The sequence below is a fragment of the Homo sapiens genome, chromosome 6 (genome assembly GCF_000001405.40).
Source record: "Homo sapiens chromosome 6, GRCh38.p14 Primary Assembly".
Lineage (NCBI taxonomy): Eukaryota > Metazoa > Chordata > Mammalia > Primates > Hominidae > Homo > Homo sapiens.
This window is the reverse complement of record NC_000006.12, coordinates 135,239,257-135,266,676: the sequence shown is the minus strand read 5'-3', so window position 1 is coordinate 135,266,676 and position 27,420 is coordinate 135,239,257. Positions and strand designations below refer to the sequence as shown.

Below are 27,420 nucleotides of genomic sequence, written 5' to 3'. Positions count from 1 at the left end.
TTTGAACTCACTCAACAAATGAGTACAAAAAGATGTATCATCTATCATGTACCAGGCACTACATTAGTTATTGGACTAATGGTGACTGTTATGGGCTGAATTACATGTTCTCTGAAATTCATATATTGAAGCCCTAACCCTTAGAACCTCAGAATGTGACCATATCTGGAGATAGGACCTTTAGAAACATGATTAAGGCCTGGGCGCAGTGGCTCAGCACTTAGGGAGGCCAAGGCAAGAGGATCACTTGAGGCCAGGAGTTTAAAACCAGCCTAGGCAACACAGTGAGACCCTGTCTCTGCAAAAAATTTAAAAATTAGCCAGATGTGGTGATGCACACCTGTAGTCCCAGCTACTCAGGAGGTTGGAGTGGGAAGATCACTTGTGCCCAGGAGTTCAAGGTTGCAGTGAGCCATAGTTGCACCACTGCACTCCAGTCTGGGTGACAGAGCGAGACCATGTCTCTAAAATAATAAAAATAATAATAAAATTTTTAAGGCTATTAAGTTAAAATAAGGTTGTTAGCATGGGCCCTAATCCAACTGACTGGTGTCCTTTTAAGAAGAGGAAATTTTACGGACAAGAACACTCAAAGGCTCGTGCACTGAGGAAAGACCATGTAAGGACACAGAAAGAAGGCGGCCACCTACAAGCCAAGGAGAGAGGCCTCAGCACAAACCAAACCTGCCAACACCTTGATCTTGGCCTTCCAGCCCCCAGAACTATGAGAACTGTGAGAAAATAAATTTCTGTTGCTTAGGCCACTTAGTGTGTGATATTTTATATGGTAGCCCTAGCAAACCAATAGAACAGTGAACAAGGCAAGGTCCTTGTTCTTGCTGAACTTAAAATCTATTAAGGAATTCAAAATCTCGTGCCCACTTAAGCAAAGGAGAAAGGGAGGTAACTAGAGACACTTGTAAACACTACTGAGACAGCCAGAGTTAGTAAGAGAAGCAGGCCCGGGACTTCCAGCTAATCTTTGGACGTATTTCATTACGGGGCATGTGGCCATTACCCAGGATATTTGAATCAAGGGTTAAACAGTATTATCACTCTGCTTCAACAAGAGAAAGCAAGAAATCCTGCACTGATCATGTGAGGGGGAGGGAGGAAATCTAGCAGATCTCACCTAAAAGGGCAAATGGAAAAGAACTGTGTGGCTCAATGCACATCACAAATGTGTGGGCTTCAACATGACCACTAGAGGCAAAGGAAATTTGTATATTTTTATAATCGCCACACAGGTGCTTATTTTAGATTGTTTTCTTGAAAGTTGTTAGTTATTTCTTTTTAACCTCACTACCCTATAGACTGACTCCCTCAAGGGAGGCGTAACATAAGATAAAAATATAGAAGTTTCTATTTGGAGCTCAACAGGTTAAAACAGAGCTGAAAATAGCTCCTGGGCATGTCTTTTTTTTTTTTTTTTTTTTGAGACGGATCTCGGCTCACTGCAAGCTCCGCCTCCCGGGTTCACGCCATTCTCCTGCCTCAGCCTCCCAAGTAGCTGGGACTACAGGCGCCCGCCACTACGCCCGGCTAATTTTTTGTATTTTTAGTAGAGACGGGGTTTCACCGTTTTAGCCAGGATGGTCTCGATCTCCTGACCTCGTGATCCGCCTGCCTCGGCCTCCCAAAGTGCTGGGATTACAGGCGTGAGCCACCGTGCCCGGCCCTCCTGGGCATGTCTTAGGGTTGGCTGACTATTTAATCCTCTGATATGTAAGAGAAATTGATGTGTTCTCCTCTGAATAGCCACTGTATCTGTCATGAAGCTTACTGTCCTTGGGATTTTTCAGCATGGTCATTGGGGGAACTGAGCTTTGTGTTCCCAAAGAAAAATACGAAGCTCTTCTACGCCTACCAGATAAACTGTGATGAAGTGTGTAATTCCTGTTGTGTGGCTGGTATGCTCCATGCATGATTCAGATATTGAGATTCTGTCCAGACAGGCGAGGACCCCTGCGCGTGTAGGCATGGAGGTGGGTAGGGTCTCCAGTCAAGGGAGAAGCCACTTATTGGAACAGTTATAAAAGTTCCACCAAACTCTGGAGGGAGGTGTGGAGGCCTCAGGCAGGAACCCGGGATGAGCCCTGAATGGAAAGGCCCTATGCTAGTGGCAGGGTTCAAATCTTTTCCTTGAGTTGCCAGATAAAATACAAGACTCCCAGTCAAATTTAAATTTCAGATAAACAGTACATCATTTTTAAGATACATATGCCTCGTGCCACATTTGGAACTTGCAATATTTGGGACATATTTATATCAAAGAATTCTGTGTTATTTACATGAAATTCAAATTTAACTGAGTGCCCTATACTTTGATTTGTTGAATCCGGTGATCTTTTCTTAATGGCAAATACCCGTTTCAGTGTGGAAGGGAAGTAAGATTTGTTCCCTATTTGTGAAGATGGGCCTAGGGCTGAGTCAGGTTGTCTGAAAAACTGTACTCATCTTTTGGTGTTCTTTCTGCATAGCATGGAGCACCAAAGCCAGAAAATTATAGAAAGATGAGGAATACCAGACAGCAGAAACCTGACCGCTTTTATTCCTCATGCATGCTCTTGGCTTAGTCGTCTTTTCCACTCCCTTCGCAGCTAAAGAAGGCTTCCTAAATTCCCGGGCCATCTCAGCTGTGCTAAGGTGGCAAACCTAAGGAAAGCCTCCCAGACGGGAAGGACTAGCTGGCCTCACTTTGGTGGGAGCATTAAAGTGAATCGTAGTCCCCCAGGGAACAGCAAGTGTTGAAATAAAAAAGACAAAGTCAGAGTCATTTGGCCAGACAGTCCTTCCCACCTGGAAGGCTCTGGGACTTGTCTTATGGAAGGAGGAAAATACTTCTCCCAAGTATGAAGAAATCATCCAAAATGCAAAGGCTCCCTGGTCCCGCAGTAGCCGGTCCCCTCCACCTTCAGCCAAGGGATTCCTTAATTCATCAACCAGTATTTACAGAGGACTTGCCATGTGCCAAATGCTGTGTCGCTGCTGGAAACACAACAACGAAGAGGCATCACCTTCACCCCAAAGAGCTTCTGTCTCCCGGCAGATCCTGATGCTGCTCTTTGTAGACTCAGCCTGGGCCTGGGCCTTGCCACCCAGCTCCCCCTCCATTGCCTCACAGAGACTCATTCAGTGACTGCCCATTACCTATCAGCATGGAGAACGGCTATGGCCTGCATGTTTATGTCCCCTGCAGTTTCACATGTTGAAATCCTAACCCCCAGGGTGATGATATTAGGGAGCAGGGTCTTTAGGAGGTGATTAGGTCATAAGGGTGGAGCTCCCATGAATAGGATGAGTGCCCTTATAAAAGAGGCTCAAGAGAGAACCCTCACTCCTTCCACCACATTTGTATACCATTAGAAGACACCGTCTAGGAACCAGGAAGCAGGCCCCCACCAAACAACAAATCTGCCGGCACCCAGCTTCCAGAATGGGTAGGAAAAAAAGTCTGTATTTCTAAGTTGCCCAGCCTATGGTACTTTAGCCTGAATAGACTAAGAGAGGAAGAAGGTGTTCATCACAGACATTTGTCCTGGGCTCGGGTTCTCCTTTAGTAACTTGTCATATAAAGCTGGGGCTCTTTCCTTTCATTCTAGCTGATTACACACAGGACAGGTCAATGTTCCCCCACACTTAGACCATATGTGATGCTGGAATGGAGGTCCTGGCATATTCAACGTGAGTGGCCGTGTCAGGCAGCACCTACTCCCTGCACCTCCATCACACTGCCCTGTTTCACTGTTCCGGCTGCACACATCGCTATCTGACACTGTTCCCTTTGTTTGTGTTGTGTTTGTTTGTCACATCTCTCTGAATTAGATTGAAAACATCATGAAAGAAGCCATCTCAGCTTTCATTCACCATTGTTTCTCCCAAGCCTGCAATAGTACCTGACACAGGACACACTTAATAAGCATGCATTTAATGAATGAATAAGCAAGCAAATAACCAAATTACTTGTCCCAGGCAACCAACGTGTGAAATACACAGGGTGGATCTCATGCATTGGAACAGAGCTGCATGTGGGAGATCAGGGAATGGCATCTTCCAAAGACGACGAGCACGTGCTCTGTTTTCTCATGGAGATATCTGGTACTGCATCTGTCGTCCTTATCGCGGTCACCCACACAGGAACCTGGGAACCAACTTAGCCTCTTCCTTCTCTCCTACTATATGAAGGGTATTTTTACCCAGTATTGTTACTTCCATCTCCACCGTGGTAGAGCTAGCAGACTGGCCCTTCACCTCTGTCACCTCCTCCAAGTGTATTAGTCAGGGTTCTCCCAGGAAACAGAACCAAAGAGGAGAGATAGAGATAGGGATAGAGACAATAGAGACAGAGACAGAAATAGAAATAGAGATAAAGATTTACTTTCAGGAACTGGCTCATACAATGGTGGGAACCGGCAGTTTGCAGGGCAGACTGGAAATTCCAGCAAGAGCTGATGTTGTCTTGAGCCAGAAGGCAGTCTGGAGGCAGAGTTCCTTCCTCTTAGGAGTGAGGGGAACCTCGGTTTCTCTATGGAAGGTTTCAACTGATTAGATGAGGCCACTCACACTAGGGAGGGTCACCTGCTTTACTCAGAGATTTAAATGTCAGTCACATCTAAAAAATAACAGCCAGCATGGTAGCTCATACCTGTAATACCAACGCTTTGAGAGGTCGAGGCTGGAGCATTGTTTGAGGCCAGGAGTTCAAGACGAGCCTAGGCAACATAGCGAGACCCCGTCTCTACAAAAAATGAAGAAACTAGGTGATTGTGGTGACTCACACCTGTAGTCCTAGCTACTTGGGAGGGTGAGGCAGGAGGATTGCCTGAGCCCAGGAGTTCCAGGCTGCAGTGAGTTATGATAGGGACATGGCACTCAAGCCTGGGTGACAGAGAGAGACTGTTTCCAAAAAAGTTTGTTATTTTTCTTACAAAATAAAATATTTATTTAAAATACCTCACAGCAACATCTGGACTGGTGTTTGACCAAACAGCTGGATTCTACAGCCCTAGCCAAGTTGACAGGGCTCTCGTAGATGGTGCTACCTTCATCCCAGCCTCTTCCATGGTGCCGTCAGTACCACAGAGGATGAAAAGCTAAAAACGGTATTTCTAAGACTCCCTTGTAACTGGGGTTCTTAACAGGGCCAGGTCTAGGATGAGGCAAGCAAGGCACCCCAGGCACAAAATTTAAGGGGCATCAAAAAACTCAGTAATCAAGATAAACACACTTTTTTTTTTTTTGAGATGGCGTCTCACTCTGCTGCCCAGGCTGGAGGGCAGTGGCGTGATCTCAGCTCACTGCAAGCTCCGCCTCCCGGGTTCACGCCATTCTCCTGCCTCAGCCTCCCGAGTAGCTGGGACTACAGGCGCCTGCAACTACGCCCGGCTAATTTTTTGTATTTTTTTTTTTAGTAGAGACGGGGTTTCACCGTGTTAGCCAGGACGGTCTTGATCTCCTGACCTCGTGATCCGCCCGCCTCGGCCTCCCAAACTGCTGGGATTACAGGCGTGAGCCACCGCGCCCAGCCAAGATAAATACTCTTAATGCAGTATTTTGAAAAATTAAAAAGTAGCCGGGTGCAGTGGCTTGCACCTGTAGTCCCAGCAGTCTGGGAGATGGAGGCAGGCAGATTGCTTGAGCTCAGTTCTTGAGTTCGAGACCAGCCTGGGCAACATGGTGAAACCCTGTCTTTATTTAAAAAAAAAAAAAAACAAAATAATTAGCTGTGAATGATGGTGTGTACCTGTAGTCCCAGCTACTTGACAGGCTGAGGTGGGAGAATCACCTGAGGTCCGGAAGTTAAGGCTGCAGTGAGCCATGATTGAGTCACTGCACTCCAGCCTGGATGACAGAGCCAGACCCTGTCAAAATAAATAAATAAATAAATAAATAAATAAATAAATAAATAAATAAAAATAAAAAGTAACGCAGTATTACTGACATTTCCTTTTGCCTCTGACTCCAGTATGGCTTGGCAGGGCAGGGTTCTTAATGGAATTAAGATCCCCCATAAGAAGCACTCGTGTGGAATCTGAAGGGCAGGATGAAGCGGAAGAGATCTTTCTCTGCTGGTTTCTGCTGTCAAGCACAATGGTGCTCCTGTGTCCAGTCACTGCTGCAATGGGGGCTGCAAGGCAGGGGCTGGGCTCTACACATTTTGCTGTTGCACATGGAGCAGCCTAGCATAGCTCTCCAGCTAGTACTTGCAGTGACCGCAGTACCTGCCTCAGCTAGGGTGGGTTCTTTCAGAAATCTATTGTGCTAAAAGTGGTCTCCTGATACCCTACTACTGTTGAGTCAGGGGTGCAATTCCCAGGAGGGCCATTCTGCAATGTTGTTCATTCCTGGAGTTCAGCCCAGAGCCCGTTTCTCTTGCCCTCCTAAAGAAGTGTAAAAACACCTAATTTCCTACATTACATCCCTTTCTGGTTGACATCCCTAGAGAGATCTCTGTTGACCAGTGTCATCACGTCTCTCATGTTCATCCCATCCTTTCAAGCCCCACCATCCTGCTCTTATTCAGATCCCTTTTAATCTCTCCCCTCCTCTCTGTGACATGGCTTCCAGATGACTGTACACTCACCCTCTTTACACCTTTTTTTTTTTTCATTCTCCATACCCAGATAGAATCTCTTCTTCTTCTTCCTTTGTGGCTTCCACTCTATCATGTAGATTCACCCTGTTTCCAAAGATTTAGATAACAATAATGTACCCTGTAGAAAGTCCAGTGTCAAAAATCCAATATGGAAAGTTTACAGAACTTCTTTAAATGCTCAGGGAGCTTACATTCATTTCCCACCATTTATCTCCAGCGAATTCTTCATTTCTTGATTTCCCACATTCTCCATTTTCTCACAAGGCATTTTTGTGTGTAGAAGACCTGACTAAATAGTTTGGGGCAAAGCAACCTCTTTTTTTTAAAAAGTCTTACATCTTCTCTGCCTTCATGCACTCTCACTTGTTTACTGTCCCTCTTCTCTCTCAGAAAGAAAAACATCCCGCAATTTTCTGATTTTCTAGTGTGCTTCATTTCTTCCACCTTCTCCTTATGGGCCTTCTCCTAGTTTTCCACATGCAATTGGCCAATCAATAGTTTCTTCCTGTAAAATGACATTATGTCCCTCAGAAGGCTTCTGCTAGAGCTCAGTTTGGGAACATGAGCTAGCAAGAGCTAAATTACTCTAAAGAATTGGATCAAGGTATTAAGAGTTCATGAAAACAATCTGGGAGAAGAGGTGAGAAAGACATGGGCAAGGAGAGGAGCCAGGAGCGTGGGTAGAAGCCAGGACATTTTATGAGGTGGTCAGGCCAGTGAGAATTCCCAGGGAGGTGATAGAAGAACTTTCAACAACAACAACAACAACAACAACAAAGTCTGATGTTCACTTAAAGTGCTGTAGAGGGATAACTGTGTTGTGTTTAGGTGCATGGGCTCTGGGTCATTGATTGCATTCTGGGTCATTGATTGTGGTTTTTGTTTGTTTGTTTGAGATGGAATCTCACTCTACCGCCCAGGCTAGAGTGAGATGAAGCAATCTCAGCTCACTGCAACCTACACCTCCCAGGTTTGAGCGATCCTCCCACCTCAGCCTAGCTAGTAGCTATGACTATAGGCGTTTGCCACCATGCCCGACTAATTTTTGTATTTTTAAGACATACGGAGTTTCACTACGTTAACCAGGCTGGTCTTGAACTCCTGACTTCAAATGATCCGCCTGCCTTGGCCTCCCAAAGTGCTGGGATTACAGGCATAAGTCACTGCCTGACTTGACTGTTCAAAATTCATCTCTATCATTAACTTGCTCTGTGATTAGCAAGCTGCTCAATCTCTTAAGCTTCATTTCTTTTTTGTAAAACAGGATAATAACTGTTAAAAAGAAAAAGCCTATTTCTACTGATTATTGCAGGATTAAATAACATGTGAAAACCTCCTGGCAAAAGAAATAAATTTCCTGGAAGTGTTAGCTATGATGATGACTTAAACAATGACACTGAGCAGATGCTGTTACTTCTGCTGTGTAAACTGCCATTGTCTCTCCAAACTTCCATTAAAACTCTGTAGGCTTATAAAAAATACATAAAATATTAAAATAATTGTATTCTCTGTTCTGGATGAGGCAAGGATGAAGGGCACGTGAATTCACAAGGGCAAGTGAATTCGTAGCAGCAGAAGCGATTGCTCCTTGGCACAACATGCAAGCTTGTTGAGGAGGAGCGGAAATCTGGGAGAGAGACTTTCCCGAGGCTGGGGATGGAGGACTGAGCCAACTGCACCCAGATCTGAAAGAGTAGGGAAAATGCTGGTGATAACTGAGTTCACGGTCCTTTAAGCAGCCATCAGGTGGCTACTGCAGAGCCAACAGCCTCTCCCTACCCACATTATGGCAGGCATGCAGTGTTGAGAAGGATTCTGAAACCATGTCCCAGTTCAATCTGAGCTTGGATGACCTAACTGATTAAGGACCCTGACATGACTCAGAAGTGTTCTATGTTGGGGGTCAGCAAATGATGGCCCCAGGGCCAAATCCAGGCCACAACCTGTTTTTATGTGACCCACAAGCTAAGAATGCTTTTTCCATTTTCAAATGCTTGCAGGAAAATTTAATGAGAATATTATTTCATGACACATGAAAACAATATAAAATGCAAACTGTACTGGTCATAAAATTTTGAAATTGATCTATTTTAAAAGTTGTGGGGAAAAATGGTTTTGCTCTTGTTATACAAGTAACTACATAATATCCTTGATTGTATTTCTTGGCCCAGAAAGCCTGAAATATTTACTATCTTGCTCTTTACAGAGAAAGGCCAACCAACCTTGTTTCATGTTATGCAAAGGAGTCACCACAAGATGTCTTCTCAACCTTATGGGTGCACTCTCTATTTTAAACTTGATTTTATCCTATACGAATTGTGGGTTGGAGCCCAAAGAGGTCTATGAATTGATTTCTCTTCTTTTGATAGAAAAATCCTTTTTAAAATTATCCCTTAGTGACAAGGACATTAGTAAGTCAATAAGGTAAGCCTGATTGATTGACTTTTTTTCTTTTATCAAATACTAAAAATGAGTCAGTAAGTAGCTCTCATTGTCTCCTGCTTTAGAGACCAAAGGATAAGACAGGCCCACAGCCATGCTAATGATGTCACTTTCGTAGTGTTTCTTCTGTTTGCATGGTGACTGTCAAGTTCTATTTTGCCTAATTTTTATTTTTTTATTAAAAAATTTTTTCTTCTCTGCCCACGACCACCCACCTCCCTTCTGTGACTAATTGCAGACACCTGCTTTCTCAGTAAGATGTGGGATTTGGGCATAATTTATCTGCTAGAGTTTGGAGAAGTGCCCTCAAGCCCATGGCCTTGCCTGTGGTCCCCAGCCCTGGGAAGCAGGACACCTTCCCTTCTCCTCCCAGTGGGCTCCTCTGGTGCCTCTCCTCCAGAAAAGCTAGGTGAACTTTGAATTTTTTCAATGTAATAATTTCCCCCATAATTACATTATAATATCAATGGAGCTTATCTCATTGCAGATTGATCTTCAATTGGCACCGACTCTTAAAACTTTCTCTTTCTCAGCCCCACCCTCTGTCAAGTACTGCAGTTAATGTCATGACGAAGAGGATGAAATGCGTCAGAGCTTTACTGGAGTTGCCTTTTAAAAAGAAGCCCACGAAGATCCTTTTAGGGGAGAGAAAATTCCTTTGCAAAGTGAATAATAATACTGTAATTATATGTTCTGCCAATTTTGGTTTTCTTCAGAGGAAACAGAAACAGTGTTCCTCCTTTTCTGAAAACTTCTTTCCTGAAGTTTACTATTTACTCATCCAGCAACCATTTACTTGATTTTGCCTAATTGGTTTTACAGAAGCAATAAAGCTTTTTGTGAGGAGTCAAACAATAGAGTTATAAAGAAAATCACCCTTCCTCTCCTTCCTCCAATCTCGCTCACTGGGTCAATCAAGCATTTCTTCCATATGTTTCTCTACATTCAGATAGGCAAAAGCAAATGTAAAGAGTTATTTTTCTACTTTTACAAAAAATAAGGGTACACTGTGAATACCACCCTGAAATTATCATCAATATGTGTGGAGCTAACTCATTCTTGGTAGTTGCCTGCTATTCCATTATTCCATTGTACAGCTGTTGAGGTCCCTGCTGATAGACTTTTTTTTTTTTTTTTTTTTTTTTGAGACAGAGTCTCTCTCTGTTGCCCAGGCTGGAGTGCGGTGGTGCAATCTTGGCTCACTGCAACCTCTACCTCCCGGGTTCAAGTGATTCTCCTGTCTGAACCTCCTGAGTAGCTGGGACTACAGGCACATGCCACCACGCCTAGCTAATTTTTTTGTATTTTTAGTAGCGATAGGGTTTCACCAAGTTGACCAGGCTCGAACTCCTGGCCTCTAGTGATCTGCCTGCTTTGGCCTCCCAAAGTGCTGGGATTACAGGCGTGAGCCACCACACCCAGCCCCGATAGACTTTCAATTTGATAAAGATTTACTTTGTACCAAATACATACTAGACACTTCAACAGATTGTGGGGAGAGAAAAATGAACAACTCATCACCTTTCATGACACCAAGGTCCTGTGGGGAAGATAAAATAAATGATTGCACGTGGACACTAAGTGTGACAATGTGGTGTGCACAATTGCACAGCGAAGGCACAGAGAACTTGGAGGGGGATTCAGTCAGCTGGCGATGAGTCCAACACACAGGGGGGAGGGTGCAGGCACAGGGAACAGCGTGTGCAAAGCCAGGGAGGCTGCAGGAGCTGGTCATGCTCAGGAAACTGGCTGAAGCACTGTTCCCGTGCAGGCGCTGCTGAAAAGCCCAGAGGGGTAGGTGGGCACAGAAGTCAGTGGGTTGGTATACCAAACTAGAGAGTCAGGACTCGTCCAGTGGGCTGAGAGTAAAGAAGGGACATGCAAGTGTTTAAAGCAAGGTGTATTAGTCCATTCTCATGCTGCCAATAAAGACATACCTGAGACTGGATAATTTATAAAGGAAAGAGATTTAATGGACTTACAGTTCCACATGGCTAGGGAGCCCTCACAATCATGGTGGAAGATGAAGGAAGAGCAAAGGGAGGTCTTATGAAGGGCGGCCAGCAAGTGAGAGCGTGTGCAGGGATGGGGTTGTGTCCAGGGAAACTCTCATTTATAAAACCATCAGATCTCGTGAGAATTATTCACTGTCATGAGAACAGCATGGGAAAGACCTGCCCCCATGATTCAATAACCTCCCACCAGGTCCTTCCCGCAATGCGTGGAAATTACGGGAGCTACAATTCAAGATGAGATTTGGGTGGGGTCACAGCCAAACCATACCACAGGGCAATCAGATCCTGTTTTTAGAGGATATCTGGAGGGCATCTGGAAATGAAACTTGTGAGGAAAGCATTATCTAATCACGGGAGGATGCTGGACCAAGGCGGGGCAGTGAGGGAAGAATGAAGGGGAGGTGGTAATGGGAACTAGCCTTCTGAGGTGAACCCAGTAATACTTGTGGGCAGACTGAGAGGAGTGGTGAAGCAAAAGGACTTCTAGGTTGGCAATCAGGTGTACCCAATGAAGGACATGCAGGAGGAGGGCAGATGTGCCCAAGAGAGGTGAAGACTTGTGTTTTGCACATGTGGAGTTTGAATTGCCTGTGGAACATCTTGGGCTCTTTGAACATTTTTCAGATGTGAGGTGATGATGGCCTTCCTAAAGTACCTTCCTTTCACTCTGTGATAGGTTTATCCCCTTCACAGAGAAAATGGAATACAGTGATGCAGTAGGGTTCTAATCATGACTGCTATCTCAGGAGATGGGAGCAATACAGCAGCCAAGGACTCTGCTACAGGGGCAGTGCCTCTGAGTGAGTTCACAGGGGCCTCCTCCCACTGACAAACTAAAACCATGACCGTCTGTGTAGATCAGTAAGTATATGACATCCTTCCTTAGGGCTGAGGCCATATCAGAGGGTGTGGCTAGAGAGTGGAGGTGGGGAGGATCCCATCAGTTAAGCACTTGTGTACAGGTCCCAACAGCAGCAGCTCTGGGAGCAGCCTGTCCCTAGTGAGCATCTCTTGGAGACTGACCAGTGTCACTAATGACCTCCTTATTGCCTAATCCAGCATGCATTATCATTCCACATCTTCATTCAGTAAACACTGTGGAAGACTCCCCTCTGTGCCAAGCATACTGAACTGCCAGAGACATCATAATGAGCAAGACTTGCTTTCAAGGTGCTCTCGGACCAGTTGGGAAGTCTGAAAGTGACAACCCCTAAATCCCCTTACTGCAAGATGACTGCTTCCAGACTGATAGGTACAAAGTATAGCAGTGTGACAAAAGGAAAAGTTACATTGATGTTACATGGAGCAAAAGGTGGAAAAAATTCTCCTGGGATAAGCAGGAGTCCATCTACAAGATGGCCTAGGCTCTCATTAGCATATTCTGCCAGAGGTATTTGAAACAAAATGACTCCATCTTGAATAGGGGCTGCGTAAAATGAAGATGAGACCTGCTGGGCTATATTCCCAGGAGTTTAAGCGTTTTTAGTCACAGGATGAGATAAGAAGTTGGCGGGACTGGTATCATAAGATACAGGTCAGTCATAAAGACCCTACTGATGAAACAGGATGCAGTAAAGAAGCTGGCCAAAACCCACCAAAACCAAGAATACCATGAAAGTGACCTGGGTCGTCATTACTGCTCGTTTCATGCTAATTATAATGCATTAGCATGCTAAAAGACACTCCCACTGGTGCCATCACAGTTTACAGATGCCATGGCAACATCTGGAACTTAGTCTATATGTCTTAAATAGGGGAGGAACCCTCAGTTGGGGGGGAATCTCCACCCCTTTCCCAGAAAACTCAAGAATAATCTATCATTTGTTCAGCATATGATCAAAAAACAACCATAAGATAGCCAACCAGCAGCCTTCGGGGCTGCTCTGCCTATGGAATAGCCATCCTTTGTTTCTTTACTTCTCTAATAAACCTGCTTTCACTTTACTCTGTGGACTCGCCCAGAATTCTCTCTTGTGCAAGATCCAAGAACTCTCTCTTGGGGTCTTGGTAGGGACCCCCTTTCCAGTAACACTTCCACAGAGAAGAAGGCCCTGGTTCCCAGACACCTTCAGGGGATCAGCTGTAGCAGAATCATCTGGAGAGCTTTTGAGAATCAGTTCCGGCAAGAAAGATATTTGCAATTTTAAAAATCTGACACTGTAGAGAAAATGAAAGAATTTGTTTTCAGAGAATGCTTTCTTTAGGAAATGCATGCTAATATTGTTTCTTAGATACAAGGCTCAGAGGGGCTTGGCTGGAGGGGGAGCTTGATGCCAAAAGTGCAAAGCTGCTCTGCAAAACAAAGGGTGGTGGTCAGAACGTGGGGAAGATGCCTTCAACTTGGGCATCATCTGGGTGGTTCCCAGAGGAAGTCGGAGATGATTTTTGGGTTAGAGAGAAAGGGAAAGACCTTGAAACTGGAGTACAGGACAGGAGATAAGAGGGGAAGAAGGGGCAGGGGGCAGATAAGGTCAGGGCATCAGGACAGCAATGGCCAGGCGCTAACTTGTCTAATGGTGGGAAGGGCCAAGTCACGCAGGAGCAGTGGTGTCTGGTATGGAATATTATGTTGTTTCCTATTGCTGTCTTTCATCATTAGGTCATTAGTTAAGCTTTATACCACTGCTCAGTGTCAGCATTAGTTAAGCTTTATACCTTAAGGTCTTCAGTTAAGTTTTATACCAGGTTATTAGTTAAGCTTTATACCACTGCTCAGTGACAGCCTGGTGGTGGGGATGTCCTGGGGAAAGAAGAGGGTAAATTGATACAAAGACAGATATCGAGACCTCCAAACTGATCAAGGAAAAAGTTGAGGACAGGAGGTCTCAGCTGGTGTAACAGGAAAAAGAAAAAAATCAAGGAAAATTGAACTATCACTCCCCTCCTTTAACCCAGGATTCCTCAGAGGCAATTCAGGAGGAAAATGGAATTCCTCTGGAAATAGACATCATGGAAGCTTGAGTTCTTTTGTGTGGCTGGAAGTATGTCTCTGATTCCGAAAAGGTGAAAGACTTGAAAAGTAAACTACAAACACAGATTTTCTTTCTGTGTCCTGTCTGTCCCTGAGAATTCTGTTTGCGACGGTTTGGGGTGCGGCTGTGTCCAGGTGGCTCTGATGTGTGGTCAGGATTCAGGACCACTGCCATAAGTCATGGAGCCACAGGAATTTCAAGGAGACAGTTTTTGTTTGAGAATGCTCACTTTGGTGGCAGGGTGGTGGCAGGCTGATGAGGCACAGAGGGAGGCCGGGTCTTGAGAACTGACGGGGCCTGCCATATGGGGCCCTCCCGAGGAGGCTTCCTGTGTGTGCAAGGTACCACAGCCCCGCCATCCAGCAATGTATGACTTACCGCTCTCTTCCTCTGAGTGCACATTCTCCATAGCAGCAGAATGACAGTCACTTGTCATTCCACTACCTGATCTGGAGGAAGAGAAAAACCAGCGGTGTTTGTCTTTACTCAGGATGCCATCTCTGGAAGACAGGGACTGAGCCAAGGGATTGGACGTAGGGTTTGACTCCCAGCTTTGGAATCCTGCTGACTTCTAGTTTCCACATCTCATCAGAAAGTCAGGAAGTGGCTAAAGCAAATACTGCCTTTCGCATTAGACCTAAGTGCAGCTGGAGCTTCAAAGGAGAAGCTTAGTTTCCTTCCCCAGTTGGAATGCTCCAATATTTCCCTACTTTTCAATAAAATGCTGAAAAGAAATTCCAATGCTGCTGTGCTTACAAAGGCAATATTTAAAACGTGTACTTCATTAAAGTTGAGAATAGACAAACCCCTTTAGGGGCTTTCTTCCCTTAGAAATGCATCCTGCGTTCTCATTTTGAGGGACAAAATGTAACAACTACTGGGCATAATAAAAAGAATTGCCTCTTAACCTACACAGCCTTCACTCCCCACACCTCCCTTTTGAATGTAAATGTGGGCAATACCAGGAAATGAGCCGGGCACAATATTTGCGCTAGGTCCTCATATCTCCACTCTGTCTATTTGGAGTCTTAGGTAAACATGCCCCCAGCCAGAGAGCCAGCCCTGTGTGAACCCTGCAGCCTCTTCAATAAAGCACCTCCTCGAAATCCTGATTCACATCTCTCAAATCCATTGTAATCCTTCACAGTCAGAAAACAAAAGCCACTGTACTGAGCTTAAAACAGTAAGTGCCTTACACTGAAAATGCCTTTAATATCTAACTCTACCAAACATTGGGAGAGAATGCCTATTTCAGGAGTCATCTCACTTGTTCATGGGCATTTAATGCATAAATCTCAAGTATATGGTATGTTATTATATGAAATGTATACAGTGTAGGTCATGCACATAGGAATGTAGTACTGTTACTAGTATATAATCCTTCTGCTGTAGTGCGAAGTAACGTAAGTCCTGCATACAAATGCACGCCTCACAATACAGAGTGCTACACATCATGCTAACATGTGTACTATTCATAACTCTATACCATTCGAAATGCTAATTGTCACTTTTTTTCAAAGTCCAAGCATTTGTTTTGGAAGAATAAGGCCAAAGCTCACATTGTTCTAACTGTATGGCCAGCTGCTGGCTTTACCACAATGAGACGCATTGTTGGGTAAATGGAGTCCCTCAGGTGAATATAATTATGCAAATCCTTCCCTAACTACCAGCACTCTCTTGGCCCTCCCCGCTGGCCACTCATCACTGGGAACACTGTCAGATTGCATTACCGGAGGCCTCACTTGTTTGCTGGGAGTATCCTCCCCGCATTCTCCAGAAAAGAACCTGCTGCTGGCCCTGCCCCCGTAAGGCCTGTGGGCCCACTTGGGACCTCACCAGAAGACCAAGCTTTTTTCACCAGCTGACACATTTCTTCACTATATCTCAAGCACTGGAAAACATACCTTTTAATTCCCTAAGGCGGTGTCTACCCCTTGTTCAAGGCAGGCCTGCACAGAGATGTTTCTAACACCAGAGGCAAGAGAGATGGAATGAATGAGGCTCCTTCACTGAAGCCCCTGGAAATGATGTAGACACATGGTCAAGTATCATTCACACACACACACACGCGCGCGCACACACACACACTTCTTCATTCACTCCAGAACAATCTTAAGCGGTTATGCAATCACGCACTTTAGCATCCCTCATCCACAGACAGGGGAACACGGGTGACATTACTTATTTATTGACATAACTATAGACATACTTAGAAATAGGGAACCTGGGCAAAAAAACTCTCTTGAAAGTCCCCACCCCATTTAATTTACATGAGTCACTCGTGTGTGGGTCATTTTTTCCCACATTTTTGGTGATTTCCCACAGTCACCAAAATAGAACTCCACCTAGAGTGAGCCCTGCATAAATGTGAACGAAACACTGTACTTAAACTAACTTTTGTTTACCTTCTAGAACCAGCTCAACAAAATAAGAAACTTACCTTAGTTATTGTCAGGCCTCTGAGCCCAAGCCTATCTCCCTTCGCTGACTCTCTTTTCGGACTCATCCCGCCTGCACCCAGGTGAAATAAATAGCCTTGTTGCTCACACAAAGCCTATTTGGTGGTCTCTTCAAACAGACGTGCGTGACAGTTATCCTCTGTATTATTAGTGAATAATACTTCATTTCTCAACATTTTGTAAATTGCACTTTGCGGTTTAACCCATTGACAAGAGAGTTTGAATGAAAAGTAAAATATCAAGACAGTGAACCAAACAATACTTCTCTGAAGAAAATAAAGTAGCCAAAAGAGGTTAAAAACACAGAACCGTGAATACAAAATCCATTTACTTTAACTCTAACTCAGCCTTGAGAGCAAGATGATTCCTGAAGAATGAGATATTTTAAATCCGAACACTATAAAATCTGTAAAAACGTCAGGGAAGGTATGAGTGAGACTAAGCCTTGGTTAGCAGAAGGAAAGGAGAGGAAAGAGATCAAACCTACTGGAAAAGAACTTTCTTCTTTCAGAGCTGAGCCCAGGCACGATGGAGATAAGAAGGAAGGAGACCCACTTGTTCCTTTCTTTGCACAAAAGCTGTTCAATTATTGTGGGATGGAATCAGAGGAAATGGGAAGGTCTGTGGGAGGAAGTGAATAGGGTGCTTTGTCTTTTTAAGCTTTTTCTGGATCCTGCAGTTCTACTTTAAAAAAAGAAAAAGGGATCTGGGCCCTGGTAATAAAATACAGTTTTGCATAACCTTTCATCTTAATTCAAGAGCCCCTAGGTTTAGGTGTACAAAGTAAGAATAAATTTATGTATTGCAACCGACCGCAACTCTACTCAAGATTTGTAAAAGATTGTCTATCTCCTGTAGGAAACATAGAACAGACTTTCTAACTAAACTCTTTCCTCACATCCTGATTATAATATTTACATTTTTTCATTATTTCTAGCTATTGTTTAGTTCGTTCTATCGGCAATACACTGTGCCAGGCGTTTGACTCATGGGAACATCTTTATTCTTCAAAACAATCACATCAGGTGGAATTATTATTATTATTATTATTTTTTTTTTTTTTTGAGATGGAGTTTCGCCCTTGTTGCCCAGGCTGGAGTGCAATGGCATGACCTTGGCTCACTGCAACCTCTGCCTCCCGGGTTCAAGCGATTCTCCTGCCTCAGCTTCCTGAGTAGCTGGGATTTACAGGCATGCGCCACTACGTCGGGCTAATTTTGTATTTTTAGTAGAGACAGGGTTTCTCTATGTTGGTCAGGCTGGTCTCAAACTCCTGACCTCAGGTGATCCGCCCACCTCAGCCTCCCCAAGTGCCGGGATTATAGGCGTAAGCCACCACTCCGGCTAGGTGGAATTATTATCTCCATTTTACCCAAGAGGACACTGAGGCCCATCTACATTGAGAAAGGAACATGAACAAGAAAGTATATGGGTCTGCTACAGAGCAGGCCCCACAGTGGAGCAGATCCTGAGGTCTCCTGCCCTTTATGGCCTCTTCTCTGATACTCTCCTGTGGAATGATGGCCTGAGTAACCTCACATAAGGAGTTTGGATCCTGGAAGGCCCAAGTCAGCTGTCAAGTTCCCCAGTAAAAGCAGATACTCATCAGCCCTCACTGAAGAAGCCACCAGGAAAGGCTGCCAAGACATCATGGGCACATCCTGTGGTTGCTCCTGGGAAACCAAACTTCTTTTGTCTAAAATACAAATTGTATCCATATGAACCTAAAGATTTCTGAATTTCTGAATTTTCTTTAGTGTCATGATTCCATTTGGAAATTGTTCTCATTTCTTGGAAGCACCTGCATGTTGTGAGATGTTTACATTATGGGAGAAGAGGGGAAAATTTAAATACAGTAGTCCACCTGTTACTGGGGGGTCCTCGCTCCCAGAGTTCCCAAGATAGTGGCGGGCCACTTCCAAGATGGTGGAAGCCTCTTGTTCTCTGATCTGGGGCTCTTGGCCTCAGGGATTCCAAGGAATGGAATCTTGGGCCATGCGGTGAGTGTTATAGCTCTATTAGAAGACGTGGGTCACGGAAGAGAACTGTGGAACCCAGCGACTAGTGTTCAGCTCAATTAGGACGAACCCAGGCACTTAGCCATGCAGGAACAATGGCGAGCCATTAGCCCAAGCGGGAGCCGCAATGGGCGCCTCCCTGGATCAGGAACGCAGGGGAAACCCTGCTGGATCCAGAGGGGTGGAAGTCAGTGGTGGGTCTGCGACAGCAGCAAACAGCAGTGGTGGACGGCAAGGAAAAGCTCAGCTCGAGCTGTAACAAACACGAACCAGAAGAGTGTGCAGTTGCAAGATTTAATAGAGTTGCAAGATTTAATAGAGTGAAAACCGAGCTCCCATAAAACGGGAGGGGACCCAAAGGGGATTGCCGTTGCTGGCTCAAATGCCTGGGTTTATATCCCGATCATTGTCCCTCCCCCTGTGCTCTGAGGCAATAGATGATTGGCTATTTCTTTACCTCCTGTTTTAGCCTAATTAGCATTTTAGTGAGCTCTCTTTACTACCTGATTGGTCGGGTGTGAGCTAAGTTGCAAGCCCCGTTTTTAAAGGTGGATGCGGTCACCTTCTCAGCTAGGCTTAGGGATTCTTAGTCGGCCAGCTAGTCCTGTCCCTCACACCCTTATCCTTGGCGGATTATGTCCCAAGCCCCACAGTGTGTGGCTGAAACCCTGGATAGCATAAACCCTGTATATACTCTGTTTCTTTTTATACATACATACCCATGAGAAAGTCTAACGTATAAATTAGGCATATTAAGAGATTAACAACAATAACTAATAATAAAATAGAACAATTATAACAATAGACTGTAATAAAAGTTATGTGAATGTGGTCTCTCTCTCAAAACATCTTATTGTGAATACTGAACCTCAAAAAGTGAAACTGTGGATAACAGGGGACTACTGTAATGCAGGCAATATTTTCTAAAAAATATTGCCTCGGTGAGGCAGATAAAGAATTGTGTCTGATAATCTACATAAAAAACAAAATTTTGCATCTTTTTGCCTGATTGGGTTGTAAGGGAGAAAACCCAATCTTTTTCTCACCCATCACTAGGTCCATGGCTGAGGTACCTATCAGAGGCATTTGAACTAGAGCAACTCTGTCTTGAACAAGAGCTGGGTAAAATGAGGCTGAGGCCTACTGGGCTGCATTCCCAGATGATTAGGCATTCTAAGTCACAGGATGAGATACGAGATCAGCACAAGATACAGGTCATAAAAACCTTGCTGATAAAATAGGTTGCAGTAAAGAAGCCAGCCAAGACCCACCAAAACCAAGATGGCAACGAGAGTGACCTCTGGTCATCCTGACTGCTACACTCCCACCAGCGCCATGACAGTTTACAAATGCCATGGCAACGTCAGGAAGTTACCCTATATGGTCTAAAAAAGGGAGGCATGAATAATCCACCCCTTGTTTAGCATATTATCAAGAAATAACCATAAAAATGGGCAACCAGCGGCCCTCTGGTCTGCTTTATCTACGGAGTAGCCATTCTTCTATTCCTCCACTTTCTTAATAAACTTGCTTTCACTTTATGGACTTGCCCTGAATTCTTTCTTGCGCAAGATCCAACAACCCTCTCTTGGCATCTGGATCCAGACCCCTTTACCCTAACATACCTATAACAAAAGACAGATTAACAAGAAAAAGAGCAGACAGATTTATTTAATACCACAACCCAAACAAATGTTTTCTCCTGCTGGCCTGAATTGAGAAAGGAGGTTCTAGGAGAAATTTTTACCCCGTCTTTTTTTTTTTTTTCTGGGAGACAGAGTCTTGCTCTGTCGCCCAGGCTGGAGGGCAGTGGCTCACTGCAACCTCCACCTCCCAGGTTCAGGCGATTCTCATGCCTCAGCCTCCTAGATAGCTGGGATTACAGGTGTGAGCCACCATGCCCAGCTAATTTTGTATTTCTAGTAGAGACGGGGTTTCACCATGTTGGCTAGGCTGGTCTTGAACTCCTGACCTCAGGTGATCCACTTGCCTTGGCCTCCCAAAGTGCTAGGATTACACGGGTGAGCCACCGCACCCGGCCTTACCTCCTGTCTTGACTGGGCATTATAGACAGAGATGCAGAGAGCTGACCTAGGTGAGAATTCCTACCTTCTGTTGGCTTTTTGTCGGTTGTCTCAGGATCTTTTCTGCAGGCTTCAGAGGGAGTGTGATGTCTCCATTGCCCCACGCTGGGCACCAGAAACTGTAGAGGAGAAAAGTAATATCTTTTCATCACATCAAGATTCAAGGCTGAGGCCCTACACAGAAGACAGATTAACAAGAGAAAAGCATATGAATTTATTTAATGTAAGTTTTATATGACACAGGAGGCTTCAGAAATAAAGACCCAAGGAGACAAGGAAACCTGTGCATTTTCATGTTAAGTTTGATGAAGAAGTGGATCCTTGTGGAGAAGAGAGATTGGACAAAAGGGGTATGATCAAATGGTGATAAACTGGGGGGAACTTAGCAAGGGCTGTTTGTTCAGATTCTTCTCCATATCCTTGTGTCTTCAGAGACAAGGACATTCTTTCCCTATGGGATAGAACAGCATCCCTGGAATGAGAGTGTTATGACCTGCTACAGAAAGAAGAGTGTGGGGAAGGTGAGGGAGGCTTTCCTGCTTCTGCTGTTTTCTCAAGTGCCAAGCAAGGTACCGTATCTAGGAGAGCATGTCCTGAATCCTGTCATTGTATTATACGTAAGTTTTAAATGATCTGTGGCCTCAGCACAATATTCAGAGTGTCAGGATTCTTGTCTTGTTCCAGTTTATTGCTCACATCAGTGTCTACAAGGGAGTCAATTCTTTTTTTCTTTTTTCTTAAACAATGTCTTGCTCTGTCACCCAGGCTGGAATGCAGTGGCCCAATCACAGCTCACCTGGGCCAACCTGGGCTCAAGTGATCCTCCTACCTCAGTCTCCCAAGTAGCTGGGATCACAGGTGTGAACCATTGTATCCAGCTGATTTCTTTATTTTTTTTGTAGAGATGGGGTCTCCCTGTGCTGCCTAGGCTGGTCTCAAACTCCTATACTCAAGCAATCCTCCTGCCTCAGCCTCCCAAAGTGCTGGGATTACAGGCATCAGCTGCTGCGCCCAGCTGGAGTCAATTATTTACCAAGACCCAAATTATATTAGCTATACAATATAGAACAGTAAACAAGCTGTCAGTCTGAAGCCAGAACTGTACTAGAAGTATTTTAAAGGCCCGTATTCCTTATATAAAACGCAGATTGCAGTAACACTTTGCTAATTAACAACCACAGCTTCCTCCAAGTGTCCCTTCCCAGCATCTCCACCGCAGGGCCAGTGGAATTCTGAAAGACGCGCAGTTGAATGCCATCCTAGAAACTAAATTGTACCCTGATTTTCAGATGTTCTAAAACCATCAGTGTCAGCACTGGAAAAGAAAAAGTGAAAAAAATTAACCCAAACTCACCTCTCAACTTTAAAGATTCTAATAATCTGTCAAAAGACAGTTTTGCAACCTGAGAAGTAGGGGCAGGAAATGGAGATCCTTTTTTACTTGTAGTCTTGGGCTTAGGTATTGAAAGGAAATAGGCACTTGGAGCGTTTCACAGTTGAGGAGGCCAAAGCAGGTACAGCTGAAAATCTGCTGTCTCTTCCACCTGAAACTGTCAGCTCAGAAACACTGCTGCCCATTGATTCCAAGCCAGGGCAGTGGTTTCTAGGGTTGTTAGAGGGGTTTTTCTTGGCTGCCAGGCTGACAGCAACACAGAGCTTAGAAATGACAACTGAACAATAGGAAAATTCCACCATGTTGGTATTAATCATTACAAAGGAAAGCCTGTTCCCTGATGCCAACAGCAAAAACCTAGAGCAGGGAGTGAGTCCGTTTGCTCCCCTCCTTCTGACCAAATTCAGGCACCAAAGCAATCAAACAAGGGTAAGGTAGATAGGAAGAGGGAGAAATCCTGTTCAAAGGCCAAATTATCCTATTTTCTTCGAAAAAGTACCTTTGTAACTACGGTGAAGTGCATTGTTATCAGATAAAGGCCCGCATAGCAGCCTGTACAACTGAGTGACTGATAGTTTATTATTTGATGGTGGTGATTAATGCAACAAAGTGCCAATAAGTGACTCAATCCTCAATCCCTAGTCAGAAGATTTTATCAGGTGCTTGCTAAAAGCTTGCACGGAAATATGAATAATCGTTTACCTGAATAATATTCTTCCATGTGTATGTAGAAAGGGGATGTGTTTCAGCATCTCCTGGCTTAAATGAATACATAAATAGATCTATTTTATTTATTTATTTATTGAGATGGAGTCTCACTCTATCACCAAGGCTGGAGTGCAGTGGCTCAGTCTTGGCTCACTGCAGCCTCCACTGCCCAGGTTCAAGTGATCCTCCTGTCTCAGCCTCCCAAGTAGCTGGGACTACAGGCACATGCCACCACATCTGGCTAATTTTTGTATTTTTAGTAGAGTTGGGGTTTCACCATGTTGGCCAGGTTTGTCTCGAACTCCTTACCCAAGTGATCCACCTGCCTTGGCCTCCCAGAGGGCTGGAATTACAGTCATGAGCCACTGTGCCTGACCAGGTCTATTTCTTTTAATTTTCCTATGTTTTCTTTGTCATCCATATTCTAGCAATGTGCAGGGTCAATGAAAAGCTGCTCGTCTCCTTGTGAACACTGAAGAGTGGGTCCTGTCTGCTGGCCTGGAGGTGTTGGGGTTTGCATTAGTTTCCTTCTCATCATTGTCTATGATTTGTTACTATTGTTAGGGATATAAAGTAACAGTAAAGAAAATTTGGAAGATGGACTCACTAAATCCCAACTATTTTCCCTTTTGAAAATTTCCATCTAATATTAGTTCTTAGGCATTCTCATTTGTTTACATGGTAGCTTATTTCATATGTGCATAATGATAGACCCTGTGTTCCTTTACTGAACATTTCACAGTGGCCATTTTACCACCTTTTTGTAGGCTACTAGATAGGTAGATAGATAGATAGATATAATTTTTAAAACATAGATAGGTTCTTGCTCTACCACCCAGGCAGGAGTAGGAATGTAGTGGCATGATCACTGCTCACTGTAGCCTCATCCTCCCTAGCTCAAGCCGTCCTCCTGCCCCAGCCTCATGAGTAGTTGGGACTACAATTGTACACCACTGAGCATGGCTAATTTTTAAAATTTTTTTTGTAGAGATGAGGTCTTGCTATGTTGGCCAGGCTGGTCTCGAACTCCTGGGCTCAAACAATCCTCCTGTATCAGCCTCCCAAAGTGCTGAGATTACAGATGTAAGCCACTGCACCTGGTCTTATTTCAAATGGCTTCATTGTACCATAATTTAATTAATGTCTTATTGTTGAATATATAGCTTGTTTTCTTCCTTTCTTCCAACTTCTTAACTTCAAATCCTGTCTTCTTCCTTTCTTCCTGTGCTAAATCCTACCTCTTCTTATTTATTTTGGCATTTTTATACCAAGTTTCCAGAAGTGGAATTATTGTCTCAAGGCAAATAAACATTTTTACTGTTCTTTATATAATATTGTTAAATTGTTTTCCAAAATATTTGTAGCAATTCACACTGCCAGCAACAGAAGATGAGAGTAACAAATTCCACACCCTCTTTTAACAGTTTGAATTGCCAAAAAATCCTCACACTTCAACACATATGTTTTATTTTTAGTGAGGTTCATAATTTAAGTCTTTTATTTACTAATTATGCTTCTTTTGTTGAAATATTCATTGATCTACTAGGATCTCTGTGTTTTTCTTACCAGCTTGGTATAACTGTTTTAAATAGTAAAGAATTGCTGTACTACTAGGATCTCTGTGTTTTTCTTACCAGCTTGTATAACGGTTTTAAATAGTAAAGAATTGCTGTATTTAACATTTTTGCTATATTCAGTTTTCACAGCCTCTTGTATGACTTTCTACTTTGGTTAAGGAAGATTTTTTTTTTTGAGATGTAAATGCTTTCAACATTTCTTTTCCTTCCTTCCTTCCTTCCTTCCTTCCTTCCTTCCTTCCTTCCTTCCTCCCTCCCTCCCTCCCTCCCTCCCTTCCTCCCTTCCTTCCTCTCTTTCTTTCTTTCTTCTTCTTTTTTTATTTCGGAGTCTGGCTCATTGCCCAGGCTGGAGTGCAGTGGTGCAATCTGTGCTCACTGCAACCTCCGCCTCCCAGGTTCAAGCAATTCTCCTGCCTCAGCTTCCCGAGTAGCTGGGATTACAGGTGCACGCCACCACACCCAGCTAATTTTTGTGTTTTCAGTAGAGACATTGTTTCACCATGTTGGCCAGGCTGGTCTCGAACTGCTTACCTCAAGTGATCCACCCACCTCGGCCTCCCAAAGTGCTGGGATTAAAAGGCATGAGCCATTGCACCAGGCCTCAACATTTCTTTTTTTTTTTTTTTTCTCGCTCTGTCACCAGGTTGGAGTGCAATGGCACAATCTCAGCTCACTGCAACCTCTGCCTTCCAGGTTCAAGCGAATCTCCTGCCTCAGCCTCCTGAATAACTGAGATTATAGGCACATGCCACCATGCCTGGCTAATTTTTGTATTTTTAGTAGAGATGGGATTTTACCACATTGGCCAGGCTGGTCTTGAACACCTGACCTCAAGATCCTCCCACCTCGGCCTCCCAAAGTGCTAGGATTACAGGTGTGAGCCACCATGCCCAGCTCATTTCTTTAGCTAAATTTATTGACTTTTGGCATTGTGACTTCATCTTCCAAAGTTAATAAAGTAATCCAGTGATTAACTATTTGATAAATATTCAACTTTTTCTATAAATTAAAATAATATTTAGTTTTTTTTTTACTATATCATGTAGGATATGATACAAGTATAAATGGATTTTTTATTCCAATTACTAACCACTAACCACTGTTCCTTTCTTTCCTGGTCATTTTATGCAGCCTCCCTTATGATATACTAAATTCTTATAAACACAGAGCTATCTCAACCCAGTGCTACATACGCATTTAGTGTCGCTTTGGAATATGCTCCCTTATAGGGCAGTGCTGGCTTTCTTCATCTTTTTCTTTTCTAGAATATTCTTTGATATTTAACATATTCCTTCTTTTAAATGAAATTTGAAATCATATCATCAACTTTAAAGCATCATGTTGGGATTTGGTGGTATTGCTTTAAACCTGAGAAATTATTTCTTGTGCTACCTGGGATAAAGTAACAAACGATGACTGGAATATTTTAGCAATGGATATTGTGAGCCAAGCTGGACTACACGAATTTTCGCTCAGAACAGCCTGAGGCAGATATGAAAGGAGAGGCCAATATACATCATAGCCAATAAGAGGACTGTAGATCCATATCAGAGAGAAATGTCAAGAATCAGGTCCAAGGGGAGTGAGTCAAGCCTTGAAAGGTACGAAGACTATTAAGACATTTAAAACCAAGGAGCAAGAATAGACCAGAAAACAGGTGCTACGTGGCCATTGGTGCATAAGCAAACCCTTGGTTCTTCCTCCTGGAACTTTTCTACAACTCCATTGACTTTCCCTTCATCTTAGCAGTATTGTCCTGTGCCTGGCTATCATTTTTGTAAACTGGAAATAAGCTTTTCTGATCCATTGTAAACTGTCCTCATGAATGAAATCCAAGCATCTCTGAGCTTTCTCCAGTCTTCAATGTGATCTCAGTGTTTAATGAATTCTGTAAAAATCTCCAGCAAATTGAGAATGCCTCTTTCCTTGCAGCTGCCTCATTCTGTATTTTTTAATAGGTTGAAGAAACATTTGCTTTATAATATTCTGTAATATTTTGTTTCAAAATGTGTACTCTTGGAATCAGCTGTAAATCATAATATATACCTTTAATAATTTTCCAACTTCAAAATTGCTTTTTTAAAAAAATAAAGAAGACATGATGCTCTCTTAACGTGAAACACTGTTTTCTAAGACTAAAATATTTTCAACAAAAAATTTCAGGTATATTCCATTTTCTTCAGTCGAGATCAAGATAGCAGAGAACAGCCAGATAAGTTCCCCATAGATCTGTCTTTACTCAAACGCTGCTATGAGTCCAAACACATTTTATTTATGAATGGTTTTTGAAATTCTCCAGTGCTTTTTATTTCTATTAGAAACTCTTTTTACAAATGACATCTCCATGAGTAAATATTTAAAAGAACAAGTGTCATAAAGAACTGAATGTTGCATCCATTATAATACTGTATTCCAATGTTAGATCTCAAGACCAAGACTCCTTGAAACTTCAATGTTATCTGCAGAATTCCAGTTTGAAAGTGCTTTCATGTTCTTAATCTTTTAGAAGTATTTTTAGTAGACAATTATATTTTACCTGTCTATCACATTCCTTTGGAGGAACTTCTTCTCCTAGTTTTAGCCATGAGAGCCAATGGTAGCAGCCATCATTTATGTCACCCCACATTCTTGGCCACATCGCTGTTCAAGAAGAGAGACCTTGAATCAACAGAGGATACATGGAATTCCAAGGCACTTGAAAAAGCCTCGTGTAACAGACACTCTTGGTTCTTTGTGCCACTCCACTGGCGTACCCATTTCTGCATGCCTGTGCTCTTGGCTCTATGTGCTTTTTGTCTAAGAGCTCACATCTGTGACTCTTTTCTGAGGTCTAGCCTAGGCTACTGAAGATGCTTTGCCTTTATGCGTTGCCTGCAGGCAAGTGCAAAGAGTCAGAAGCACTTGAAATTCATGCTCCCTGGGGTGGCCTTTGGCCAATGCCTGACTGCTTTGGGAGTTTAAAGCCCAGGAAACTTGTCTGGTGTCTGGATAACTCAGAGCATCATTTATACACTACAGTGACCTTGCAGGATAAAGCTAAGTCTGGAATTTTCCTGAAATCATACCCTTGCTTGGCTTCTTCCCCATTCCCTGTCCTGTTCCCTGTACTTCCCCCGAGCCCCCTACCTCCCATTTCCTTTCTCTTAGAGCACTTTCA

The 27,420-nt window shown here is 43.7% G+C and overlaps 7 annotated features.

The window, feature by feature from the left end:
- Positions 2,606–2,808: a silencer, noted in NCBI's record as "fragment chr6:135585007-135585209 (GRCh37/hg19 assembly coordinates)". NCBI's record gives its function as "represses an EF-1alpha promoter that drives an FKBP-Casp9 reporter gene in an ReSE screen in phorbol 12-myristate 13-acetate-treated (for megakaryocytic differentiation) K562 erythroleukemia cells {active_cell/tissue: K562(+PMA)}" and the evidence as "EXISTENCE:reporter gene assay evidence [ECO:0000049][PMID:32094911]".
- Positions 8,709–9,908: an enhancer, noted in NCBI's record as "CDK7 strongly-dependent group 2 enhancer chr6:135577907-135579106 (GRCh37/hg19 assembly coordinates)". NCBI's record gives its function as "activates an origin of replication core promoter dependent on BRD2, BRD4, P300/CBP, MED14 and CDK7 cofactors, with strong dependence on CDK7, by STARR-seq in HCT116 cells {active_cell/tissue: HCT116}" and the evidence as "EXISTENCE:reporter gene assay evidence [ECO:0000049][PMID:35650434]".
- Positions 13,772–14,272: an enhancer, noted in NCBI's record as "H3K4me1 hESC enhancer chr6:135573543-135574043 (GRCh37/hg19 assembly coordinates)". NCBI's record gives its function as "activates a minimal SCP1, AML or CMV promoter by ChIP-STARR-seq in primed H9 embryonic stem cells {active_cell/tissue: H9 hESC(primed)}" and the evidence as "EXISTENCE:reporter gene assay evidence [ECO:0000049][PMID:30033119]".
- Positions 14,273–14,773: an enhancer, noted in NCBI's record as "H3K4me1 hESC enhancer chr6:135573042-135573542 (GRCh37/hg19 assembly coordinates)". NCBI's record gives its function as "activates a minimal SCP1, AML or CMV promoter by ChIP-STARR-seq in primed H9 embryonic stem cells {active_cell/tissue: H9 hESC(primed)}" and the evidence as "EXISTENCE:reporter gene assay evidence [ECO:0000049][PMID:30033119]".
- Positions 15,411–15,923: an enhancer, noted in NCBI's record as "OCT4-NANOG hESC enhancer chr6:135571892-135572404 (GRCh37/hg19 assembly coordinates)". NCBI's record gives its function as "activates a minimal SCP1, AML or CMV promoter by ChIP-STARR-seq in naive H9 embryonic stem cells {active_cell/tissue: H9 hESC(naive)}" and the evidence as "EXISTENCE:reporter gene assay evidence [ECO:0000049][PMID:30033119]".
- Positions 15,411–16,915: a biological region, named in NCBI's record as "MED14-independent group 3 enhancer GRCh37_chr6:135570900-135572099".
- Positions 15,716–16,915: an enhancer, noted in NCBI's record as "MED14-independent group 3 enhancer chr6:135570900-135572099 (GRCh37/hg19 assembly coordinates)". NCBI's record gives its function as "activates an origin of replication core promoter dependent on BRD2, BRD4, P300/CBP and CDK7 cofactors, and independent of MED14, by STARR-seq in HCT116 cells {active_cell/tissue: HCT116}" and the evidence as "EXISTENCE:reporter gene assay evidence [ECO:0000049][PMID:35650434]".